The sequence below is a fragment of the Homo sapiens genome, chromosome 8, assembly GCF_000001405.40.
Source record: "Homo sapiens chromosome 8, GRCh38.p14 Primary Assembly".
Taxonomy (NCBI): domain Eukaryota; kingdom Metazoa; phylum Chordata; class Mammalia; order Primates; family Hominidae; genus Homo; species Homo sapiens.
The window spans coordinates 4023078-4048295 of NC_000008.11; the positions used below are offsets into that span (position 1 = coordinate 4023078).

Sequence of the window (25218 nt, forward strand, 5' to 3'; positions counted from 1 at the left end):
GCCTCATGGTTGAGCTTCAGCTAATGCAGTGGATGTACAGGAGATGCACTCTAATGTGTGGAGGAACTGCCCATCACAACTCAAGTTCTTCCTTTTCACCCAGTGCAATGTTGCAGGCTACAGACCTTCAGGGAAGCCAGATGTGAAAGGTGGCCATCTCCAAATCACCGCTGCGCATAAAAACATCTGAACCAACTACCCATCATTGAGACTCATTTTGAATTTAACTTGAGCAAAGAGTATTTCTGTTTGAGCCCATTAATACTGTATTAATGAAACAAGCAGAACAACAATGCCCTGGTCCAAATGTGAAACAAAAGTAATTCCAATTTCATTATGAATAATTGAGGCAAAGCCAGCACTCATCTAGACTCTGGGTTGAGTAGCATTAGGGATTGCAATGTTGGAATCACAGAAGAGGAAGTCTAATTACAGGCATACGCTTGGCTCTGTGCTGAGCAATATTCACGCACTTACCAAAATATGAATGCTTACTGCTTTTCAACTTTTTTTTTTTTTTTTTTCCTGACACGGAGTCTCGCTCTGTCGCCCAGGCTAGAGTGCAGTGGCGCGATCTCGGCTCACTGCAAGCTCCGCCTCCAGGGTTCACGCCATTCTCCTGCCTCAGCCTCCCGAGTAGCTGGGACTACAAGCGCCCACCGCTACGCTCGGCTAATTTTTTTTTTTTTTTTTTTTTTTTTTTTTTTGTGTGTGTATTTTTAGTAGAGACGGGGTTTCAGCATGTTAGCCAGGATGGCCTCGATCTCCTGACCTCGGGATCTGCCCGCCTTGGCCTCCCAAAGTGCTGGGATTACAGGCGTGAGCCACAGCACCCGACCACTGCTTTTCAACTTTTACAAGCAGACTTTAGATACATTAAGAGCGACTTCATTATTATTATTTAATTAAATATAAAGGCTGACATATTTGACACTGCAAAGGTTCTATTGCAATTGAGAGAACATAGAGGCCAAAACAGGAGAGAAAATATACTAGAAAGAGTAGAAGCAAGAATATTCACATCTTACTAAATGGAAAGACAAGAGATGTTACCAAAAATTAAAGAAATACAGCATAAAGAATCAGTTGTATTATTCCAGTTCATAAATATAACAGATAGTAAGAAGACATGGGAAACAGAAGTGATGTAACATATTAATACTCATATCAAGGTGTCAATTGAGAAAGTTCACAACGGATAAAGCATGAAGAATAATGTAAACAAATTACATAAAAGACAATAATGACAGAAAACCAGAAATGGTTAAATCTTATGGATTCTGTGGCATAAGAGTATGGATACGCTGATGGAAGTTTTACTTTCATGGGAAAACTTTATTATTAAACTCTTCAACCATGTTCATATGTTACTGATCTTCAATGTTAGTAAAGTTGGGATGAGACCACCCAAACTATAGCTGACTTGTTACAATGTCCAAGTCAGAAATTTAAATCAGAGGTCAAGTCAATTTGAGACTTTAGTTTTTCACCCTTATTACAGAAATAATCATATTTTCCCTGCCCATTTCTTAAGGTTCTTTGAGGTACAAGCAGGATCTTGCATTTATGGGCCTCAGCATATTGCCAAGGAGACACTGCATAAATGTGACTTGTGGATACCTTCCTATGGTGGTTCATTGGAGTTGCACATAGGAGCTACTGCAGGCCGCTCTGTGAAGTACGGCATACATAAACATACGTAGTTTATGACAGCTTGTGACTGGGAACTTCCTGAGTATGACTTCAGGGATCTAAGCTCTGCAATGCTGCTGAGAATTGTTTTCTTAAGTAAGGTTTGCTAAAACAAAGTGTTCCATCATAGAATAAATGAAAGCATGTAAAAAGGTGGTGTTCAGGTGAGGGAGCATGAATCTTTGTCTGAAGTACGATTGGCCTGGGCTAGGCCTGGGTGGGTTTAAACGGCCTGATGCCTTGGTGATTACATAGGTAGAATTAGGCAGCCGGGACAACATCAGACTAATACTCACAAAAATAAGATTCAGAATTGGAGCAATGGAATAAAAGGGGACACCGAAGGGGCTGCAAGAGATGTTGAGACTGTAATTTTCCATGGATGTGAGCTCCTGTGAAGAAATGCACCCCCTCCTGGGGGAGTGTTCTGGATCAGATGTTAGCTTTCTCATGGAGGAGGATTTTCTAAATACAAATATTTACCTGCTTCCTTTCTACCTTCTTGTATGCCCCTATCCAAAATCCACACAGTGGACCATCTTTCATGTTTTCCAGTCAGGAAGAATACCTTGTTTTGCATTTGATCCTCTATTTCCCTGTAGGACCCTAGATCTCAAAGTAATTTATAATCTATCCTAGGCTGTACCATTATTATTTAATAATTTATGAATCAATAATAAAGTATGGGAAACATAAAGCAAATTAAGAAGGCATTTAAATCAAGAGGCAAAAGCATTTTTCATTGAAACTATCTAGCTGCTTCTTCTCTTTTTTCATATTTCTCCCCTAGACAGACATCATGCCTGTAAGAAGTGAAACAGTAAATCCTTTTTAAGACTGGCAGAACATGCCAATAATATACAATGAATAAGGTGAATTAAGAAAGACACAGATCTTAAGTTGAAAGACTCAAGAATAACGAATAGTTGAAAGATTACCTCTCAAGAAAAATGAATTTTGAGGTCTCATTTTTAATGTCAATGTGATGTTTGTTCCCTGTTTAAGGGACACAGTTTTAAGCAAAGGTGACTGGCCTCTGATTTAGTTCTGTTAATTATTTTCTATTAATTAAATATACAGTTATACCTTTTTCTTTAAAGAACATCACGGCTACATATATAATACATTTAGGTGTCATTATTCAGGGAAAATATTGCTAGTTTGAATAAATTATAAACTTTTATAACCCTGGCAAAAGATCATTGTAGAAGGAGACAGTCATGCTACTGTTAGGAACTCTATAAAAAAAAAAAAAACTCTTCAACCAGTTCCTGCAAATAAATAAGTATTAATAGAACTTTGGGGAAGCAGAATATATACTCATTTCATTCGTGTGAATTATCTCAGTCCATATGGTTGAAATTTACATCTCTCATAAATATGTCACATTTACACATTTACAAGAATTAGATCATTTTTTCTTTATAATCTAGTTATCCAAATCCATGAGAAACTGTGCTGCATCATTCAAATATGTTTTATAAAATAACATGTAATGGAACGCAATTTGAAGTCATACTACACCAGACACTGAGAAAAGCAAAATTTAAATGTAAATGTAATAATCTATAATACAGAAGAACAAAGTTTCCTGTGATAAAAGCACACTGATCTCATTGGGATTTACCACATGGGTGGCAGCATAGGAAAGACACTTAGCTGACTGTTATGTCAACTTTGACTACAGATACGATTATGGAAATTTTAAAGATCCTCCAATTAAGAAGAAAACCACTGGAGGATATGTAAGCAAAAAAGCAATAAACAATGAAGGAAAATACTCTTGGCTTAGGCCAAGTTTTAATGTCACAAGGAACTAAGGACACTGCCACTCACAGTTTTAATGGTGGTATCTTATCTCCTGGGAAGCTACAAGCTAACACCATTAAGATATTATGTCAAAATATAAAATAGCAATCAGACAAATGCTATCTGAGAGATCAAGGGACTTCTTTTTTCCTTAAAGAAACTGTAATAAGGGGTTGTAATGATAACTAAAATTTAGATTTAAGTTTGAAGTTGACAAATGATTAAGATTTATGGCTGTAGGGAGATGACAGGGAGACTCTGTGGCAGTGTAAAAACCTGAGCAAAAGTTTGGAATTTGGCAAGGTGTAGTATGCTGCTGAGCGAATTCTTTAAAAACCAACCAAACAACAAACAAACAAACAAACAAACTGAAAACCTACTTTGCAGTGTTTGCCAATTCTTATGCTGTAGTCCCACTATGACAGATAATAAGCTAACCACATGATGTCAAGGAACACAGAACTTGGAAAAGAAGCAGATAGTTCTCAGGCCAGCCAGGATAGGTCGGCCACAGAAAAACACAGCTTTGTGGAGCAAAAAGCTTTACACTCATGTTGGGTACACTACCAGGTGGAATTGCACCATTTAGTTACGACGAGGTAAGAAGCATATAGGAAGCCCTGTTGAAGGTTTGTACTTTATTCTCATTGAGTCACCAAAGTAGTTTGGCTGATAAAAGAAATGTTAGGATGAAGATGGATGTTAGGAGAGAGTGAGTCAGGAGTAGAAAGTAGGATGATGGTATGCTTTGGCTGTGTCCTCACCGAAAATTTCACCTTGAATTGTAACCTAAATTCTAATCCCCTAATCCCCATGAGTTGGGGAGGCACATTGTGGGAGGTGATTAGATCATGGGGGTGGGTCCTCCATGCTGTTCTTGTGACAGTGGGTGAGTTCTCATGAGATATGATGGCTTTATAAGGGTCTTTCACCCTTCACTCTGTACTTCTCGCTCCTGCTGTCCTGTGAAAACGTGCCTTCCATCATAACTGCATGGTTCCTGAGGCCTCCGCAGCCATGCAGAACTGTGAGTGAATTAACCTCTTTTCTTTATAAATTACCCAGTCTCAGGTATTTCTTCATAGTAGCATGATAACGGACTAATACAGATGACAACTGACATTTTAGACATGGGGGCCCATTGAACAAACTTGAAGCCAGTCTGTTTGAGAAGGGAAATAAATAACTAAAATAACATAGTAAAGGCAGAAATGGAAGTAAGGCCAAGACACTTGAAATGAAGAGTATGACTTGAGATCTACATGATCTATTAAAAATTAAATAAATAAAGAGAACAAAGACACAGTAACTTTGATTTTTTTTCTGAGAGTGAGAATGTAATGGAAATAATGGTAGAAATAAGGAAGAAGAAAGAATATATTTAGGATGCCCAATGGCACTCTCTTAAGTGAGATCAATTAATTGAGAACAGTCTGTGGAAAGCAGATGGGATACAGGTTTAGGTTTTGAGGCCACCACTGTTTTGACAACATAAAGATGAAAAGTAATTAATAAGAAAAAAATGAAAATGGACATAATAAACTTCAGGAACATGAAGAGAAAATGAGCATTTTAGAAAAAATAATGGGCATCTAGAGTAGGAACTAGTCATCATATGAATTTCTCTAGGACAGAGGAATAATTCAAATACGATTAATCCCAAATCTAACATCTATTAGCACAAATACCTTGAGCAAGTCACTTTTCCTACCTGAAGTCCAGATTCCCCACCTATAATATGAATCTTTAATAAAATGCCTACTTATGAAGATTAAATTTGCTAAAGTAGTGCCTGGCTTACAGTAAGTGGACAATACATACTAGCTTGTGGGGTGGTGGTAGTAGTAGCAGTCATCGCCGTCATATGCCATTATGAATACAATAAACACCAAGCAGATCTCATAAGACTCTAACATTTTACAAAAAAAGGAAAAAAAAATAGGCAAATATGCAATAACTAGCGAAGGATAAAATAAAAGCATACTGAAGGAAATAATATAATGTTACATGATGACTTGCAGTGGAGCCTGTAAATTGGCATGCTTACAATCCTAGATTAAAAGCCAGACTTGTGTTTGGGTCATAACATTTACTATCTCTGGAACCTTTTGCAAATTAAAACTCTATTTCTTTACCTTTTAAATGAGTGTTAATAATTATTACATTAGTGCTTGTTGTGAGAGTTAAATGGTATAATCCAAGTGAAGTTTTTAGCAAATTTTCTGGCATCTCATTAAGACCTCAATAAATGTTAGGTATGCTTTTAATTTTGTACTCAAAAGATAAATTTTTCTTAGGAAAGTCAAAACCTAAGAGTTGAAGTATGCTCTTTTCTAAAGTCATTGGAACAGTAAAATAGTATTTTTGGAAAATGTAAAAATAGCAGTGTTGCAGGTAAAGGAATTCTCATCTTGCTCTGAAATATGACAACGGCACTTGGGAGAGGGCACTAACTTACAATCACCTTATCTGAGAAGACTGACAGTGTTGAAAGAGTTCTTAAAATATACACATTAAATGGTCAAGGAGTGTTTGTAATTTTTAATAAAAAAGATAAAAAGGAGGCAACAGGGCTAGAAGGACATAAACATTGGCATCAAATCTTTGAATCCTACAACGAGAGGTGATGAAAATAGGCAGAAATCCATGAAGACTGAAAAACAGGATGAAAACAATTTTGGATATTTGGGGGATATAATAACAAGTTGCATTAGTCTGTTTTCACGCTGGTGATAATGCATACCCAAGAATGGGCAATTTACAAAAGAGAGGTTTGATGGACATACAGTTCTATATGGCTGGGGAAGCCTCACAATCATGGTGGAAGGCAAGGAGGACCTAGCCACGTCTTATATGGATAGCAGCAGGCAAAGTCAGCCTGTGCAGAGAAACACCCATTTTTAAAACCATCAGATCTTGAGAGACTTATTCACTATCACAAGAACAGCGCAGGAAAGAACTGCCTCCATGGTTCAATTACCTCCCACTGGCTTCCTCCCACATGTGAGAATTGTGGGAGCTGCAATTCAAGATGAGGTTTTGGTAGGGACACAGCCAAACCATATCATTTCGCTCCTGGACCCACCCAAATCTCATGTCCTCACATTTCAAAACCAACCATGCCTTCCCAACAGTCCCCCAAAGTCTTAACTTATTTCAGCATTAACTCGAAATTCCACCTTCCGAACTCTTATCTGAGACAAAACAAGTATCTTCCTCTTATGAACCTGTATAATAAAATACAAGCTAGTTACTTCCTAGACAAATGCAGGCACAAGAATTGGGTAAATACAGCCATTCAAAAATGGGAGAAATTGGTCAAAACAAAGGGTCTACTGGCCCTATGTAAGTATAGAATCCAGTGGGGCAGTCAAATCTTAAAGCTCCAAAATCATTTCCTTTGACTTTGTGTCTCACATCCAGGTCATGCTGATGCAAGAGGTGAGCTCCAACAGTCTTGGGCAGGTGTACCCCTGTGACTTTGAAGAATACAGCTTCCCTCCTGGATGCTTTCATGGGCTGCTGTTAACTGTCTGCAGCTTTTCCAGGTGCATGATGCAAGGTGTCAGTGGATCTACCATTCTGGAGTCTGAAGGATGGTAGCCTTCTTCTCACAGCTCAACTAGGGCGGTGCCCCAGTAGGGACTCTGTGGGGGAGCTCTGACCCCACATTTCCCTCCTGCACTGCCCTAGCAAAGGTTCTCCATGAGGACCGCCACCCATAGCAAACTTCTATCTGGACATCTAGGAATTTCTATACTTCCTCTGAAATCTAGGCAAAGGTTCCCAAACCCAAATTATTGACTTCTACACATTCGCAGGCTCAACACCACATGGAAGCTGCCAAGGCTTGAGGCTTACATCCTCTGATGACACAGCCTGAGCTTTATGTTGCCCCTTTCAGCCACAGTTGGAGCAGCTGGGATGCAGGGCACCAAGTCTCTAGGCTGTACACAGCATGGGGACCCTTGGCCCGGCCCTCAAAACTACTTTTATTCTCCTAGACCTCCAGGCCTGTGATGGGAGGGGTTGCTGTGAAGACCTCTGACATGCCCTGGAGGCATTTTCCCCATGGTCTTGGGGATTAACTTTTGGCTTCTTGTTACTTATACAAATTTCTGCAGTTGGCTTGATTTTCTCCTTGGAAAATGGGATTTTCTTTTCTATCACATTGTCAGACTGCAAAGTTCATGAACTTTTATGCTTTGCTTGCCTTATAAAACTGAAAGCTTTACAGCACCCAAGACACCTCTTGAATGCTTTGCTGCTTAGAAATTTATTCCTCCAGATACCCCAAATCATCTCTCTCAAGTTCAAAGTTCCACAACTCTCTAGGGCAGGGGCAAAATGCCATCAGTCTTTTTGCTAAAACGTAACAAGAATCACCTTTGGTCCAGTTATGAACAAGTTTCTCATCTCCATCCGAGACCACCTCAGCCAGGATTTCATTGTCCATATCATCAGCACTTTGGTCAAAGCTATTCAACAAGTCTCTAGAGAATTCCAAAACTTCCCACATTTTCCTGTCTCCTTCTGAGTCCTCCAAACTGTTCTAAACTCTGCCTGTTATCCAGTTCCAAAGTCGCTTCCACATCTTTTGGTATCTTTTCAGGAGTACCCCACTCCTGGTACCAATCTATTGTATTAGTTCATTTTCACACTGCTGATAAAGACATACCTGAGCCTGGGCAATTTACAAAAGAAAGAAGTTTAATAGACTTACCGTCCCAAGTGGCTGGGGAAGCCTCACAATCATAGCAGAAGGCAAGGAGGAGCACATCACGTCTTACATGCATGGCAGCAGGCAAAGAGAGAGCTTGTGCAGGGGAACTCCTCTTTTTAAAACCATCAGATCTCATAAGACTTATGTGCTATGATGAGAACGGCACAGGAAACACTTACCCCCATGATTCAATTACCTTCTACCAGGTTCCTCCCACAACATGTGGGAATTGTGGGAACTACCGTTCAACATGAGGTTTGGGTGAGGACAGAGCTAAATCATATCAGAAGTCATAAACTTGCTATTGACTTTATGTGGTCCAAGCATGACTTTTCTCGTATAACATGTAATATTATATATTATTACTTATCACATGTTATTACTTACATACTAACATGCAATATTAAATGTTATTACACATTACATGTTATTTCTTACATAGTAATAACATGTAATATTGCTTTCAGGAGCAGAATGAGCTGACATTGTAAGAGTCAGCTCAACATGTATTATTTTCATTTAAGTGGAAACTTTCATAAAAGCATCTCCAAAACCATTGCCCTGCCCTGGAGTCTGCTCACCAGCCCCCTTGTAGCACTGTACCTCTGCAAAAGGGAGCTGGGAAGTCCCACGATGCACCATTTCCTGGGCTGACGATGCAGGTCAGGATGGCGTGGCCTTCCAAGATGTAGCCAGGGAGGCAGCTGTACCGGATTTTGTCTCCTATGTTGAATCTCGTTCCATGCAGAACTCCTTTCAGGATTTCTCCAGGATTTCCACAAGTGTGGCTAGGTAAAACTATTGGAAAAAGAAAAGAAAGGAGAAAAAACAAGTTAAATTTTCCATGGAGAGCCACTTATAAGATAAAACAGACACCATTTTTGAATTATTAAAATGAGAAAACCTCTAGCATCAGAAAAATATTAATTGTTGCTAAAAAATAAACTGAGAAAATGTCTTCAGGTTTTAGAATATCTGCAGTATAACACTTTTATAAACATCATAAAGTGTAAATAAATGCATTTTGTTAAGAGAGAAAAATATAGTCCTGCTTTTATTCAGTGTTCCAGATAATGTCTGGATTATATTTTTCTAGTCACAAAATTCTACTTACTCCTATAGTGAGCAACCAGATGTCAGTGTCAGCAACCAGACACAGTAGACTATAGAAATCTAAAACAGTGGCATAAGAAATACTGCAAGAGTGAATACTCATACCCTATTTATTTTTATGCTTCCACGACTGGTACAGTGTCTGTTACACATCATTACCCAACGCTCAATCAACATTTGATGGATAAGCAATTGAATTAAATAATAAATTAGAAATCTCATGCATTGATCCATCAATGTATAAAAAAATGTTCCACTACTGTATTCCAGGCCAGCAGCCAGGCTCTGTCCATTTATAGTGTCTGATTCAAAAGCAAGTTTCAGTGCTAAGTTTTGACAACAGAAATACTGAATTCACTTTCATTTTGTAAAAAAATAATAAAATTCAAAGGCCGTCAACCATCTGAATGGACACATCCTCTCAGCCAGGGTGATTCCAAAGTTAATCTGAAAAACTAGGTCAGGCCGTGGTGGGATGGGGCAGTCAGACATGCCTCATTATACTCTCTTCCCTGTTGGAATTACTGATAGAACAGGCTCCTCAATTCCGATACGAAACACTGACAATCTGTTTGCGGAAGCCTGCTACCTGGAGGCTTTGTATGCATGATAAAAACATTGGTCTCTTCAATACTTTCTTCTAACCCAGACATTCCTCTCTATTGATTCCATGTCTTTAGACAATAACTTAACTCTTGCAATTAATTTCCAATATGAAAAAAAAAAAAAAAAAAAAAAAAACCTGGCCAGGCACGGTAGCTCACGCCTGTAGTCCCAGCACTTTGGGAGGCCGAGGCAGGAGGATCGTGAGGTCAAGAGATCGAGACCATCCTGGCTAACACGGTGAAACCCTGTCTCTACTAAAAATACAAAAAAAATTAGCCGGGCGTGGTGGCGGGCACCTGTAGTCCCAGCTACTTGGGAGGCTGAGGCAGGAGAATGGCGTGAACCCGGGAGGCGGAGCTTGCGGTGAGCCGAGATCGCACCACTGCACTCCAGCGTGGGTGACAGAGCGAGACTCCGCCTCAAAAAAACAAAACAACAACAATAAAAAAACCTTTGATTCTACCTATGACCTGGAAGCTCCCACTTCCAGTTGTCCCGCCTTTCCAGACCAAACCAATGTATATCTGAAGTGTATTGATTGATGTCTTATGTCTCCCTACAATGTGTAAAACTAAGTTGTGGCTCAATCCTCTTGGGCACTTGTTCTCAGGACCTCCTGAGGGCTGCGTCATGGGCCACTGATGACTCGTATTTGGCTCAGAATAAATCTCTTCAAATATTTTACACAGTTTGACTCTTTTCATTGACAATTTCAATAATGGGGTATTGATTCTGTTCTTTTTGGTCCTCTCACTTTTTCCTTGATATGATTCTCTATCTAAATCAATTGACTTGAAACTCCATTCCACACTTATAGAACATGATTTTGAACTGAAACGGTACATCATTCAGTTGAATGGATGAAATTCATCATTGTTGGCTATTGTATCCATATCTAAGGTTTAAATTTAGTATGTCATCAGTAAATTAGCTGCTATTTAGTATTCAAGTAAGCTATGAAACTTACTAGTAGAGAAATACAAACACTTCCAAATAAAAATGTATTTCCAATTGAACAGAAACTATTTCATGTCTGTATCCATTGTCTTTGCATCGGCATGGGGGTGTATTTTAATGTATTGATATAATGTAGAATAATATTTTCTGTTTTATTAGTTTTTAAACTGAGTAACATAGAGAACATTTTTAGAATACGGAATAGGAATCATCTATTTCTAAAAGTATTTTTATTTATCATGATATTACTTAAGTACAAACAGAACTATATAGAAATATTTAGGAAATAAATACTAGTGTTTAGATATTGAATATTATTGACATGTTTATGAGATCTCTATTTACATAGTCAAAGTGTATTCAGTTCTAGTTTTTAAGAAGTAATTTCTGAGAGCAGTCTACAGAAATCTGTTTGAAAACACAACAGAAAATAGTTCACTATTGTCTGCAATCATTTTTGTCTTTTTTAATAAGAAAATTCTGTATTTAATTCCACATTCACTATCCTTAAAGCAAACATGTGTGCTGTTTATAGTACATTAAAAGTGACATTTATAAGGAAGAAAAACTTTCCATTTTATCAGGGCAGCCCTTCAACTTTTGACTCAGAATGCCTTGTCCATCAGCTGAGCCGAGAGCTCTTACAGTCAAAGACACACGTTGTATAGCCACCGTAAATGTGAAGAGTGAGAAAGGGAGTGATTAAAAAAAGTAAACATGTGGACAAAAGCTTTTTGATGTTTTTCTTTAATGTCCAGGAATATTTAAAATAAATCAACATGTCTTCTTAGGGTCATTATTATTAACTGCTACTGCTAATTCTTCTTAGAAGGCACACATTTTCCAACAGAAGGTGTCCAGATAATTGTTCCCCAAAGACACGGTTATCAATGGAAATCTATCAAATAAATCTGCTAAAGATAACCACAATGACCAGTCATTGTCACACACGGAAAATGCAAATGAAACACTCTGGAAATGGAACTTAGTCTGCGCGACTCTTCTATACGTTTTTTCTGTTAAAAGGGCCTGAAATTATTTTTTTCAATTAACTTTGGTATGAATAATGCAAATGATTATCGTGCAGAAAGATCAACGAAACATTCTACAGTAATATATAGTTGTGAGCTGCCTAACAACAGCTCAATGATACGACTCATATACAACATCGGTCCCAGGAGATGATGGCGTACTGATGTTGTAGCCGTCATGAGGTCGTAGTGCCAGCTATGATGCACGTGTCTGTGGTGACGCCGGTGTGAACAAACCACCTGTGCAGCCAGTCATACAAATCTTCAGCACATACAATTAGGTTCACTGCATATGCTTGATGATAATAGTGAACAACTGTCACTGGTTTTTCTACTTACTATACTATACTTTTTATCATTATTTCAGAGTGTGCTTCTTCTACTAAAAAAAAATTACGATTTTACTGTAAAACAACCTTAGTCAGGTCCTTCAGGAAGGATTCCAAAAGGAGGCATTATTATCCTAGGAGATGAAAGCTCCATACCTGTCCTTGCCCCGAAGACCTTCTGGTGGGACAAGACGTCAAGGTGGAAGAGATGACCCCGTGCAGGCCTAGGCTAGGGTGTGTGTTTGAGTCTTAATTTTTAATGAATACAGTTTAAAAAGTAAGAACATATAAAGAAATTTTAAATAGACAAACTCTTATGAATAACAATATAAATGTTTTGCACAACTGTGCAAGGTTTATGTTTTCAGTTAAATATTATTACGGAAGAGTCAAATGCTTAAAAATGAAAAAGAAGTTTATGAAGTAACGTTATACTAAGCTTAATTTATGATTAAAAAAGAAAAATGTGTTTTTATACATTTAGTGTACTCTAAGTGTACAGTGTTTATGAAGTCTACAGTCGTACATAGTCCCGTCCGAAGCCTTCACAGTCACCCCTCACTCACACACAGACTCACCCAGAGCAACTTCCAGCCCCACAAACTCTATTCACGGTAAGTGTCCTATGAGAGTGTAACACTTTTTTTTATTTTTAATGCTGTTTTATTACTGTACCTTTTCTATGTTTAGAGACACATATACTGACCATTATGTTATAGTTGCCTACAGTATTCAGTTCAGCCACATGCTGTACAGGTTTGCACTCTAGGAGTACTAGGCTACACCACACATCCTAGGTGCGTAGTAGGCCGCAAAACTTGGGTTTGTGTAAGTGTGCTCTGTGATGTTTGCACAGGGACAAAATCACCTAAGGATGCATTTCTCAGAATGCATCCCAGTTGTTAAGTCATGCATGACTGCATGTAACATATCTCAAGATGCTGTTGTTATGGTCAAGCCTCCCACTTTATCATCTACAGTATATTTAGTAAATTTAAAGAGGGACCCCTCCAAAATTGTTACCATGGTACTGCGCAATGGTATTTTCCAGCAGTGTAGAAATGTATTGACTTACATATTTCTGAAGGAAAAATATCATTAATGAATATGAGTCTCCCCAAGAAGGTGTCTGAAAAGAAATATTTGTAAACACCCATCTCTTCAAACTTCCAAGAGACAGCTACTACCATAAAATTGAATATGAAAAATATTTATTCTGTTCAATTTCATCAATTTAGGAAAGGTATTTTTAATAGGGAAAAATTAAGGCAGATGTTAGAAGCAGCGGATGTCAAAGAAAAAACTAGACATCAATGGAGAGCATGCCTGTTCTTTTCATGAAATTGCATTTCTCATTGTATCTGACGTAAAGGATCCTTTTGCAGATGCAGTTGCAGGCTTTTATTTTACACCAGGTCCTCAAATAGCACTGTTGGCAGCACCACTATTTCATTATAACATGGATGAGAAAAATAAATAGATTCCTGACCAGGGCCACCACCTGTTCTTACCATCTCTGCATGAGGTATGTCCAGTTTCCTCCATATCCCAAAGATGACCATGTTTGCATGTTAGGCTCATTGGCATGTGCCCTGGATCCTAGTATGGGTGAGTGTGGGGTGTGTGTGTGTGTGTGTGTGTGTGTGTGTGTGTGTGTGTGATCCTGCCATGGTAGTGTGTCCTGTCCAGGGCTGGTGACCACCTGGCACCCGGAGCTGCTGAGACAGCTCTGGCCACCCACAACCCAAAACTGGAATAATTGGATAAATTATTTTACTTGTTTTTATTAATCTTTCTTAAGTGAATGTAGAGCTCACATGTGTGTCAGTGTTCAATATTAGAAGTGTTTTGATCTTTAATATTTAGAATTTTGTAGATGTTTTCTATGACAAGTAATATGACATAGGAACTTTACTTTTGTTTATATCAATTAACCTGTGGGAAAATTGGTCTTGTCTTACATTGTTTTGCTTAGAGCCACATTTTCCCAGAACCTACCAAGCACTTGAAGTGAGCACTTGCTGTAACAGCAATGGCCATCAGCTCCACGCAACAGCCCAGTGGCATTATAGAGAATAAAGAGGATGTCTATTTCTGGGGCATCTTAGACCATTTCAATGGTTTGCTTTTTTGTCTTCTCTACAGATTTTTTTCTTTACCTTAACATCTTGACACTTAATTTTAGAAGAATTTGAAAAACACAAATCAGACATAGCCTTTGCAAGGTGCCGTTTTTCAACTGACAGGGATTGCAATGGAAAGGAGAATGGACTTTAGGTCTCTTATATTTATCAGGTGTGCTTATCTACTGAAAATGTTTTCCCATCAGTATTGATTTTAAAGGGGAAGGTGTGAAGATTGAATGAGATAACAGGTCTCCAAATATCTGTTCTTTATGACTCTATCAGATTTTACTGCAAACAGCCGTTAATAGTTCTGAGGGCCTTGAACCATTCCAGGTTGGAATTGAATCTTTTTATGTTTGTATATAAATATTAATATATTATAAAGTAGATCATATATTCTCGTATACATACGTACAATAACTGAAATTCACGTAGCTCATAAGCTTAGTGGGAATAGGAAAAAAAGTTTTTCAAAATTCAGTTGGACAAAATGTTATTTTAGAAACAATGAATCAAAAAATAATGTATAATTTTAGTCACTTTATTCCCACACTTGGTAAAAAGTGTAAATAAGTATCAGAGGCTTAAAATTAATTCAAAAAGTTTGGAAGTAAAATAACTCAGCAAATGGGAAAAAATGATTAGATCTACCATTTAAGGTTTAAAGTCACTGATTGGTGACACAAAGTTATAAATTTATGATTTAGGGATTGGGGATTTTTATCTTCAACAAATTTTCTTTTTAAAAAGTTTTTGTAAAAATTTTAATGGGAACAATGTGAATAAATAGAAATAATTAAGAATAAATTAGAATATTTTCTTCTAGTTTCAAACACCAAAAAACGCAAAACAGACATAGTATTATAAATCCATTAGCAATTTTACTAAAAAATCAAAAAAACTTGTAAATTGTAAAATATTGATGGAATTGTTGCTAGGTCTATGCAAAGATTCAAGACACACACAGACACAAATATTACCAAAATATGGTAATTTAGTGTTCGAGAAAAACTAATTTGAAAGCAAATTATTTCAACCCAATGTCATTTCTGCCAATTTCATTTTAACTGAATTTTAACCAGTTTGCCTGAAGATTATGCATGTCTCTTTGTGACTCCCAGAAGTAATGAATACACATGAAGAATTTAGTAAATACCTACTGAGTTGACATAAACTCTACTTTTAATTCTCTTTATTTATTTCCTGAGCCATTTACACTCCTTCCCATAGATGCTTCAAGAAAGCAATACTTATTTAGGTGATGGGAATTCTGCGCCCAATGCAGACATTTGGTAACGTGAAAGGATTTCTTGAAAGAGCTCTGGGCACAGTTGTTTTCTCTCATGGCAGGTTTCCACTGGACCCCATGAAGCCAAATTTGTACATCAGGGCTTGAAACTTGAAACATAGGCTGCCATTCTAAATATGCACACGAAAATTCCCTCCGTAACACTTAATTTGGCAAGTACATATGGTCACAATTCAGTGACTTAATTGGGCTATCACATCAAACCTTTAACCCAGCTGTTTCAATGGTTAAGTGGATGTCATATTAAGTATCTTTCCAAAAGAAAAGTGAAAGCATGATACTACAATACAATATTAATATTCATTACTACATGGGACAAGGCTATCGAAAGGAAGTTTAAAATTCATCAAAGCAACGGCAGCATTTTCAACAGCATGTGTACAATCAGTGGAATTTCATGAGGTGGATTCATCTGGAATCTAGGTCCCTTAGGGTTTCTCTCCATTTCTCTACACTTTGCCTCTGTAGTAGTCTCCTGGTAGCTTAAGAAAATATAACTCCAAATTCCTTCATGATGTGTACTTTCTATGTAAACCAACGATATCAAATGTGTTTGTTTTGGACTATTTGCTGCTGAAAGCTCTTCACCCCACTCTCTCTCCTGGCTTTGGGAAGGATTAGAAAAATCTGGTTATATAATTTTCAGGATCACATTAAAAAATCGGATTTCCTAGTCTTGAAACCTTACATTTCTTCTCTTTACTGGCTCTCTGAATGCGAGCCAATCTGTAAAAGGAGAAGGTGCTGACAAAGCATTTATGACAAAAGCAATGAGGACCTCCCAGGAGGTGGCAGTCATTGAATGCCTTCTACTTTCAAAAAGTCTCATTCTCCAGGATGAGGAATGACAGTGAAAGAGAAGGACCTCATGGGACGTAATCAGAACTGGCTGAGAATAACTCAATGAGGAAGTGAGCTGTAAATATACTTGAAGGTGGAAAAGGGCAAGATTTGGCCAAATAAGAAAGATAAATTGATGTGGGGGAAGTCGTTGTGGCAAGCATTTATAGAAAAGTATATGGCACAGGGAGTTACAGTCATCAGATCTGGCATCAAATAGATTTGGGTTTCTGCTCCAGAAAGTGATTTTGTAATGTTGGACAAATTACTTAGATCTTAGTTTCTACATCTTAGAAAGGGGAATGAAAAGTAAAGCTTACTCTTGGGTTTATTATAGAGAATTGTAAAAAGATATCACAAATCAGGGCACTCGGTACAGGTTAAGTGCCCCATACATGTCAGGACTGTTAAAATTATTTTCCCAATTCTAAAGCACCATGCAAATGTTAGGGAAATAATACAATTTTCAAAGTATACAGAGATTTTAACATATCGCAATTTCAGAAACAATATTTTTAAAGGGTATGAGAGTCAAGGCTATTAATGAAATGCTAGCATAGTTGTAATGGAAGTGAAGGAGAAGGACATCGTAGTTTTTCATTTAGCAATAGTAATTCCACTTCATTATTTCTGCCTTATCATAATAACCGGAAATACTTGCACAACACACACTATGTGCTAGACACTGTTCCAAGTCGTTTATATATATTGAGTATGTATCAGTAAGTACTATTATTATGCCCATTTTAAACAAACAAACACACAAACAAAAACATGCTGCAGGGAGATCAAGTAATTTCCAGGACAGGTAACTGTTAAGAACTGGTAGTAGAGCTTGCATATGATGATGGATTCAGAATCTCTACTTGCAAGCATGACAAAAACTCTTTCATATGAAAATGTGGCTAACATCAGAAGAGGTGATGATAAAGTGTGATTAGATCTACGGTGTTCACAATGGAGGTTAGTTATAATAACATGCATATATGGATTGGGGAGACTTACGATGTTTTCTTAGGTAGAATGGAGGGCACAACCATAACATAGTTTTAAAAAACATGTTTCAAGCTCTCGAGGCAAATTCATATAATAGCAAAAACACTGCAGGAGAGACTGCAGCAAAGTCAAAAACAAGGTAAGCGACCAGTTGGCAAATGGATTTGAAACCTAGAGACTAGATTTTCAAAAGATTTTTAATAGCACGTGAAAGACTTTAGCAGCTCCGGACAATCGAAAAAATAAAAATGCTGTTGCAAGATAATGTTCACTATGTAAATGGCTCTTGAGAAGCATCATGAATATTTGCTAGTGTGAATTATTAAATAATCTTATGGTCTTACATTTTGACTTCACTAGTGAATCCTCACGTGGTCCTATATTTTCTTTTCTTTCTTTTTTTTTTTCCTTTTTTTTTTTTTTTTTGAGACGGAGTCTCGCTCTGTCGCCCAGGCTGGAGTGCAGTGGCGCGATCTCGGCTCACTGCAAGCTCCGCCTCCCGGGTTCCCGCCATTCTCCTGCCTCAGCCTCCCGAGTAGCTGGGACTACAGGCGCCCGCCACCACGCCCGGCTAATTTTTTTGTATTTTTGGTAGAGACGGGGTTTCACCGTGTTAGCCAGGATGGTCACGATCTCCTGACCTCGTGATCCGCCCGCCTCGGCCTCCCAAAGTACGGGGATTACATGCGTGAGCCACCGCGCCTGGCCGGGCCTTTGCCATTTTAAACACTAGAAGAATTAATCCATATATAAATTTTCGCAAAACTATGACAAGAATTGTTAAATGCAAATCAAGCTTACTACTACGAAAAAAGCAACTTCTTTCGTGCCTCAACCTACATCCAGCCTTAAAAAGTAGTGTAAGGATCAAACTGTTCCACAAATAGTCAACCAAACCCCAGTGAAAGAATGTTCAAGAATATTTATGGGAATACAAAAATATTCAGCACCTGTCAAAGTGAGATTCACAGTCTCTGGCATCCAATCAAAAAGTAATAAGCACGCAAAAAAGTAAGAAGATATCCATAAGAAGAAGAAAACTCAATCAATGAAAAGTGAGCCAGAAATAAAACAGAATTTTCAATCAGTGAACACCAACATTAAAACTGTTATTAGAACTGTATGCCCTGTTCTCAGTCAGGTGATGATGGAACATGTTGTCTTGAGACATGGGAAATATTAAAAAACAAACAAACATACCCACAAAAAAACAAAACAAACCCAGATTGAACATCTAGAGTTAAAACCATCTGAGATTCAAAAATCAATGGATGTTATAAGGTAGAATAGATATAGCAGAAGGTAACATTAATGAACATGTAGAGATAGCAAGATAAAGTATTTAAAATGAAACATAAAAGAAAAAAGAAAGATTTCCAAGCAAAAACAAAGCAAAACTAAGAGCACAGAGAATCAATGAACTTTGGGACATCTCCAAGCAGACACAAGTATGTAATTAAACTCACTGAAGGCAGGGAACACAAAGAGGGACAGAAAAAAAGAAGAAAAGGAAACAAATTACCTAAAAACTTCAAAATTTACTAAAACAGTGAACTCATAAATACAAAAAGTTCAGTAAGTGTAAAATGCAAAGAACATGAAGAGCACCATATCACACATGTCAAAATCAAGGTGCCTAAATACAGCAATGAAGAAAAAATCTTTAAAGCATCCCTACTAGTGGGGGTAGGAGTAATGTTCTGTGTAGAGAGACAAAGATAAAGGGGCCAGGTGATGCCTCTTCAGAAAGAATGAAACCAAGGAGAGATTCAGCAACTTATAGGAAGTACTGAAATAACGAATAAGCAAAACAACCATCAATCTAAATAAATTTATATGACAAAAATATTTTGCAATATCACAGGGTAGAGAAACAAGTTCAGACATGTGAAAACTGAAAGCCCGTCACTAGCAGGCCCATACCACAAGGAATATTAAAATGAGTCATTCCAGCGGAAGGTAATAGCATAGTAAGGAATTCCAAGCACCAGGAATGATACCCGTATGGGGAATTATAAAATATATTTTATTTTAAAAATCTGTTTAAAACACTATTAGCTGTTTAAAGCCAAATAATATATATTTTAGGTTTCTAACATATGTAGAAGTGACAGAAATGACAGCAATACCACAGAGGCTGGGTAAGAAGAAAGGAGAGCACATTGCTGTATCTTCGCTATACAATAGGTGAAGTGGTACAACATATTAAAAAAAAAAAAAAAAAAAAAAAAAAAGCAGGCTGGGCACGGTGGCTCATGCCTATAATCCCAGTACTTTGGGAGGCTGAGGTGGGAAGATTATGAGTTCAGGAGTTCAAGACCAGTCTGGCCAAGAGAGCAAAAACCCACCTCTACTAAATATGGGAAAAAAAAAATTAGCTGGGTGTGGTGACTTGCACCTGTAGTCCCAGCTACTTGGGAGGTTGAAGCAGGAGAATCACTTGAACCTTGGAGGCACAGGGTGCAGTGAGCGGAAATTGCACCACTGCACTTCCAGCCTGGGTGAGACAGTGAGACTCTGTCTACAAAACAAAACAAAACAATAAAAAAAGCAGCAGTATAACATCACAGTAGATTATGGTAGACTGCTATAAAGTCTAAAGTCACCACTAAAATAGCAAAGACAAATGTTACAGCTATTAGGCTAGCATAGGAGATAAAACGAATCACAGAAAGTACCCAATCCAACAAAAGGAAAACATAAAAAGAAGAGGAAAAAAGAAAATGAATGAGAAATACAAAGCAAACTGCAAGGTGGTAAAATTAAATACAGCCACACCAATAAACATAGGAAGCGTAAATGACATGAACCTCACACCTGCAAGGTGCACATCATGATAATGGATGAAAAATACACCCAGTGTTATGTTGTCTTCAAAAAAAAGTATTTTAAATACAAACAGACAAATAGATAACAGTAAAATAATGAGAAAAGACAAATAGCTTTATGTGTGCTGCTGTCTGGCCGCCTTGAGGGGGAAATCAATGTAGAATAGCCAAACTGGAATTTCAAAAGACGAAATGCATTTTTTAATTCTAGGAGTGGTGGTTCCTGGGTGAAACCATACATTTATTTCAGTGTTCTGAATTACACATTCAATTACCTTAAAATAAGATTTATTACTAATAGATACTATTGATATCTTGCTGAGCTCTTTCAAATGCTGGAACGCTTTATATATGGTATTTCAAACCTTACACGTCTCCAAATGAGGCATCATTATTCCAATTTCACATACAAAAATGATGAGACACAGAGAGGCTAAGGAACTCAGTTAAGATAACACAGATAAACCTGAATCTGTATAGACCTATGATATTTCCACCACACCATATTGTCCCAATTGTGTTGATATAATTGAAATGCTTTTAAATGCAACTGTAATGTCAGAAAGAAATAATTTTGGCAAAGCTTAATTAAAAAAAAACGCTGAATAATTAGGAGACTGGGGTTCCTGTCTTTTCTTGCCCATTGCTTGTCTCTGTGATATTATTTGATATGATATTTTCTGGCTCACATGTTCTCATCTTAACAGTAAGAAAGAAGATGAGAGTTGGGGTGGACTCATTCATTCTAAAAGTTGAGGGATCTGCACAATAACTGCTGTTTCAAATACAAATAACTTATTTTCTCATACTTCCTTATTGCAAATTAAAAAATATAAAAATGGCAAAGGAAAAACAGAGAAATCATCTCTGAAAATTGATGCAACACTTAAAAATAACACAATGCAATTCTGTTTAGTATTTACTGATAAGAACCTTGTCTTAATAAGCTAAAGGCAATCTCAGTCTACTTTGTGTCATTCCAAGCTCTAAAATTCTTTACCATAAAAGCTGCTTAACTCGATTTAACTGGAGGGTCACATCTCAGGGGACCAGCGACCCCTCCAGAGGGAGGAAGGACAGTCAGGAGGAGCAGGACACTTCATTCCATCTGTGATTCTACCACGGCAGAGCTCGGTCACCGGAAGGATAATTAAATCCGGGTCTCATTTTCTTCTCTCGTGCAATAAGAAGAGACATAGCGCACCCTGTACGTGTACCACCCTGGGCGTGTACCACCCTGGCCACCTACAATCCTGGCTGCGTACAACCCTGGATGCATAGCACCCTGGACACGTACCACCCTGGGCATGTACCACCCTGGCCACATAGCACCCTAGCCGTGTAGCACCCTGAGGGTGTACCACCCTGGATGTGAACCATCCTCGATGAGTAGCACCCCAGGCTTGTACCATGCTGGGGACTGCACCATCCTGAACTTTGCAGCCCTCAGGCCCAGACTGACTTCTCCCACAAAAAGTTAAATTTAAAAAAATGTCCCCATGGCATCTGAGAGTAATTATATTCAACATCTTGTTCACGGAGGAGTTTCTACTTCCTGTTTTATAATTACAATGTTATGCCTGAATCTTCCAGTTTTACAAAGCTGATTTACAGGAAAGCCTTGTGCCTGAGGTATGGTGTGGAGGCCACAGACGGGGCACAGGGAGACACTGAACATGGCAGTCACCACCTGTGCCCTCCCACCTGCAGCGGCCACGCAGTCGTGGGCTGGGGTACCGGGTGCTGAGGTACTCATCTCTGAGGAACCCACAATGTGGGCGACAGTTGTCCCATTAATGAGCTTAGGAGCAGAAGTGAGACAAAGCCTCTCATTTCTCCCCACATATACTACAGGAATTCTGTCCTTATAGGGTTAGGCAGGTAAAAGGACCATCAATTGTGTATGATATGAGCAGACGAACGGTTTCAAGGACACTGTCATTTAAAACAGTGCTACATTACCGATCATCAATGACAAGTGGCCACAGCAGTAGAAATGACTGCTGAGAACGTCGGAAGGGCCACTGGTGCTGGGGTCAGAACACTGTCCCCAGTTGGGGGAAGACCAGATCCAGGGACATCATGGGGCCCTGTGGGCAGCAGATGCTGTTACAGCTCAGAAAGAGGATGTGCAATGCTTTAGAATGAAAGAAACTCAAGAATGTTCCTGCTATTAGCTGCAACATAGAAAAGGGGAAATTAGCTTGACAAGATGGATTGTAGTAGAAATAATTTTAAGTAGAGAACCTAAGAGTCAAAGCAGTAACCATAAGATTCAAAGACTAAAATAAAACGTGTGAACACCAGTGAACTGTGAAACACAAAGACTAAATTACACACTTTAAAGCTATTTCCAGACATTGTGAGACATGGCTTCTCAGCATCTTCATCATCCCCTTTTTCTTTCAGACTCTGGCACTGCATTATTTTTTTTTTAATTAGAGTTTTTATGTCTATGCTGGTGAACACACACAGGTATTACATATTTTCTGGAAAAATACATCTAAGTCATTCAAATCAAAGTATATTAGATTCCTGTGAAGTGGATATAATTCAAAATAATGGTTCTACAATTGTATTCAAATATAAAATTTAGGACTCATGCAGATTAGATTTTAAAATCAGTTCTCCCAATTTATATACACACATTATATAACATATAATAATGTATTCTATAGCTCATATATATCTGATATATATGTATTATGTATCATAAATTTATATACACACACAATTTATATGTGTATGTGTGCGTGTGTGTGTAGAAAATAATAAAAGCATTTTAACAATATAAAGGTCATGTGGCATTATCTTTTATTTCTAATTATTGAATTCTTGGCTGTTTCTCAGTCTAACTTCAGTTATTTCTCTTCTTTGTCCTGGAAGTTAGCTTCTAAAAATAGACTCAATGTTATCATTATAAACACTTTAATTTACTTGGCATTAGTATATTACAAATCCATGATTTTCATATTCATTCAAACCTAAATGTGCTTTCTGTTACTGAATTCACATAAACAGCTCAAGCTTCATGAAAAGAGTCTTTCGGAAAGGATAAAGCATGTTTTGTGGTTGCTGTTGCCTTACACGTCATGTATTCAACTCTGTACATAGTATAACTGTGGGCTTCCAGGTATTTTTCTTTAATTTCTGAAGACCTACTGTTGATTGTTGAGTCTTGATAATTCCATCATAACAAACAACAAGTGTGCAGATAGGATATACACTGGGAATGTTTATTTCCATTTGATTTTAAAAGGATGTAGATATTATTTAAATGACCTAATGATTTAAACTTTTTTTCTGTTTCCCCCATAACACACACACATATTGTAATTAATGCACAGCCTGGGGAGCAAGTGAACTAACAATTATTGAACTCTAAGCGCCAGGCACTTCATGTATTATTTCCCTGAATTCTTCCAGGAGCCCCACAGAGAATGTGACAATGAGGCCATCTAAAAATGGGCAGAGAGAGGCTTATGGCCAAGAGGGAACTTGAGTCCTAACTCCACCTTTGTCTCAGATCTCATGCTCTTTTCTTTCCAGAACCCTCCCTGATGCATGACTTAGCCCTATAGGGTTGTGACATAGAGGGAACACCTGGAGTCCAAATGAATACAGAATTAAATGTGGTCTTTAAAAATGGTCTCTATGGCATTGAAGCTGTGGCTTCAATGGAAGCTGTGGAAGAAGCAGAGCAGCCTGCAACGGTTCCGTGAGCCTGACCTATCTGACCTGTGCTGGGCCAGATGCTCTGTAGTAACTCATGTGTATTTCAGTCTGACTCTAGTGTTCATCAAAGTCATCTAAGTGGTAGGCACATGTATTCTGGAGTGGGAGGAAGGGAGGAAGGAGAGAGACATAAAGTGGAATATTCTGAAAACAAAATGATCTTCTACCCAAAGCCCTTGGGAACGGTCCTGCTCATGGAATAGGAACAATCTTGGAAACTCAGGAAATATTGCGGAAAAAATAAATTGAAATTAAAATGGCATTTTTCCCAGGGAATTCTTAAGAATCATTATAGCTAACTCAGATTAGTGGTAGCGTAAATGCAGGGAAGGCAACATTGTGATATGTCATTCATTCATTCATTCATTCATTCCACAAATATTTATAGAATGCAAATTATGTTGAATATTTACTGAATGCGTATTATGTGTGGAATATTTTTCCAGGCACTAGGAATGCAATATCGCCCTCAGTGAGTATATTTGGGGCATGCAGAGAGAAGAAACACCATTAAAAAAATAAAATTTGTAATAGCTCAGTGGATTTTAAATGCTATGGAGAAAAATAAATCAAGAGAAAATGGTATTTTTTTGATAGGAATAGGTAGAGAATGCAATTTTACATTAGGTAGTCAGGAAACACCTCAATAAGAAAGTGGCATTGAAAAAAAATATGAAGTAGAGGATCAGATCTAATAATAATATTTACATCACTGAGCCTTTAGTTTGATTTTATGTAGTATTATAAAAATTAGGATTGTTTTCCCAAAAATATAATGTCATGTTGAGTCCTTAGGCCTTGTTTCTTTTCATCCTGAGAGCTTTAAGTCTTTGTATGAGAGATCAAACCGTTTTGCCCACTAAAATGACATGTAGAATTCATTCTTTTCCAAATATTTTGTGCATTCCTAATTGATAAGTATCTCAGGGTAGACCCCGACTGATTTCTAAACATACTTGCCTAAGGTGAAAAGAATGAATGTACGCAGTCAGACTTTGTTTTGGTTGTTGGTGCTGTATGGATGTTTTCATATTGAATAACATACCGTTCTTTGTTATTAGTCACTGAGATTAGAATGAAAAGTGATACCTACACATTTTTACACTAATTATGAGCATAAGATT

The 25218-nt window shown here is 37.7% G+C and overlaps 1 protein-coding gene across 3 annotated transcripts in view; it reads right to left on the reverse strand.

Annotated features, from left to right (window-relative positions):
* Window positions 1-25218, reverse strand: part of CSMD1 (CUB and Sushi multiple domains 1) — a 2059554-nt gene that overhangs the window by 1087717 nt on the left and 946619 nt on the right. For all 3 annotated transcript variants that reach the window (XM_011534752.3, NM_033225.6, XM_017013731.2), the window contains exon 4: window positions 8828-9022. In XM_011534752.3, the coding sequence (XP_011533054.1) occupies window positions 8828-9022 (195 nt within the window). The remainder of the gene's footprint in view (window positions 1-8827; window positions 9023-25218) is intronic.